This window comes from Homo sapiens, chromosome 3, assembly GCF_000001405.40.
Source record: "Homo sapiens chromosome 3, GRCh38.p14 Primary Assembly".
NCBI classification, from domain to species: domain Eukaryota; kingdom Metazoa; phylum Chordata; class Mammalia; order Primates; family Hominidae; genus Homo; species Homo sapiens.
Window position 1 is genome coordinate 182,425,410 of NC_000003.12, and position 2,643 is coordinate 182,428,052.

At 45.3% G+C, this 2,643-nt stretch overlaps 1 annotated feature.

Moving 5' to 3' along the window:
- Positions 966 to 1,552: an enhancer, noted in NCBI's record as "OCT4-NANOG-H3K27ac-H3K4me1 hESC enhancer chr3:182144163-182144749 (GRCh37/hg19 assembly coordinates)". NCBI's record gives its function as "activates a minimal SCP1, AML or CMV promoter by ChIP-STARR-seq in naive H9 embryonic stem cells {active_cell/tissue: H9 hESC(naive)}" and the evidence as "EXISTENCE:reporter gene assay evidence [ECO:0000049][PMID:30033119]".

Below are 2,643 nucleotides of genomic sequence, written 5' to 3' on the forward strand. Positions count from 1 at the left end.
CCCAGTAGTGCAGAATGGACCACTCCTGCCTTTGTGCCCCAATTATATTCTGAACATACTTGTATCATAGGGCTAGTTATATTGCACTTCATTCCGTGTATTCGTTTATGTCTCTGCTTCCTTCCCTCCAATCCTGCCAGCACCAGGCTGACCTCTTTAGAGACACGAAACATCTTTTATTCCTTTGGTATTTACATTATGTCACACATTGCCTGGATCATAATAGGAATTCCATAATGAAGATGAATATTTTCCAAATAATTTGAATACGATAAATTCAGACAAAATTTAAAACTATACCAAACATAACTTAAATTTGCTTTCTCGATTGTGATTTTGTTAGTATTATTCTAGTTGTCTGAATTATAAAAGTGCTTAAATTTTGGACAAATGAGAATTTTCTGTTTCTTTTCTAGTTGGTACAATAACCAAGTCTTTATAGAACAAGCAAGTTAGTGCGTCTGTGGAATAGCAGATTTGCAAGATTTAGAGTTATAACTTGAGTGTCCAGAAACCAGGTATCTGGCATATCGAAAGCCACCGGCCAATGAATAGCAAAATGTCTCAAAATTCTTACACTAAAACGCATACATAGAAAACCGCTGCCTTAGAACTTTGTATTCCAAAGCTGCAACAGAGTACAAGCAGAAAATTAAAATAAGAGCAAGAAACAGCTACCAGGTGGGAGGAGCCAAGATGGCCGAATAGGAACAGCTCCGGTACACAGCTCCCAGCATGAGCGATGCAGAAGACGGGTGATTTCTGCATTTCCATCTGAGGTACCAGGTTCATCTCACTAGGGAGTGCCAGACAGTGGGCACAGGTCAGTGGGTGCGCGCACCGTGCGCAAGCTGAAGCAGGGCAAGGCATTGCCTCACTTGGGAAGTGCAAGGGGTCAGGGAGTTCCCTTTCCGAGTCAAAGAAAGGGGTGACGGACGCACCTGGAAAATCGGGTCACTCCCACCCGAATATTGCGCTTTTCGGACCGGCTTAAAAAATGGCGCACCACGAGATTATATCCCTCACCTGGCTCGGAGGGTCCTACGCCCACGGAGTCTCGCTGATTGCTAGCACAGCAGTCTGAGATCAAACTGCAAGGCGGCAGCGAGGCTGGGGGAGGGGCGCCCGCCATTGCCCAGGCTTGCTTAGGTAAACAAAGCAGCAGGGAAGCTCGAACTGGGTGGAGCCCGCCACAGCTCAAGGAGGCCTGCTTGCCTCTGTAGGCTCCACCTCTGGGGGAAGGGCACAGACAAACAAAAAGACAGCAGTAACCTCTCCAGACTTAAATGTCCCTGTCTGACAGCTTTGAAGAGAGCAGTGGTTCTCCCAGCACGCAGCTGGAGATCTGAGAACGGGCAGACTGCCTCCTCAAGTGCGTCCCTGACCCCTGACCCCAAGCAGCCTAACTGGGAGGCACCCCCCAGCAGGGGCACACTGACACCTCACAGGGCAGGGTATTCCAACAGACCTGCAACTGAGGGTCCTGTCTGTTAGAAGGAAAACTAACAAACAGAAAGGACATCCACACCAAAAACCCATCTGTACATCACCATCATCAAAGACCAAAAGTAGATAAAACCACAAAGATGAGGAAAAAACAGAACAGAAAAACTGGAAACTCTAAAACGCAGAGCGCCTCTCCTCCTCCAAAGGAACGCAGTTCCTCACCAGCAACGGAACAAAGCTGGAGGGAGAATGACTTTGACGAGCTGAGAGAAGAAGGCTTCAGACGATCAAATTACTCTGAGCTACGGGAGGACATTCAAACCAAAGGCAAAGAAGTTGAAAACTTTGAAAAAAATTTAGAAGAATGTATAACTAGAATAACCAATACAGAGAAGTGCTTAAAGGAGCTGATGGAGCTGAAAACCAAGGCTCGAGAACTACGTGAAGAATGCAGAAGCCTCAGGAGCCGATGCGATCAACTGGAAGAAAGGGTATCAGCAATGGAAGAGGAAATGAATGAAATGAAGCGAGAAGGGAAGTTTAGAGAAAAAAAGAATAAAAAGAAATGAGCAAAGCCTCCAAGAAATATGGGACTATGTGAATAGACCAAATCTACATCTGATTGGTGTACCTGAAAGTGATGGGGAGAATGGAACAAAGTTGGAAAACACTCTGCAGTATATTATGCAGGAGAACTTCCCCAATCTAGCAAGGCAGGCCAACGTTCAGATTCAGGAAATACAGAGAACGCCACAAAGATACTCCTTGAGAAGAGCAACTCCAAGACACATAATTGTCAGATTCACCAAAGTTGAAATGAAGGAAAAAATGTTAAGGGCAGCCAGAGAGAAAGGTTGGGTTACCCTCAAAGGGAAGCCCATCAGACTAACAGCGGATCTCTCGGCAGAAACCCTACAAGCCAGAAGAGAGTGGGGGCCAATATTCAACATTCTTAAAGAAAAGAATTTTCAACCCAGAATTTCATATCCAGCCAAACTAAGCTTCATAAGTGAAGGAGAAATAAAATACTTTACAGACAAGCAAATGCTGAGAGATTTTGTCACCACTAGGCCTGCCCTAAAAGAGCTCCTGAAGGAAGCGCTAAACATGGAAAGGAACAACCGGTACCAGCCGCTGCAAAATCATGCCAAAATATAAAGACCATCGAGACTAGGAAGAAACTGCATCAACTAACGA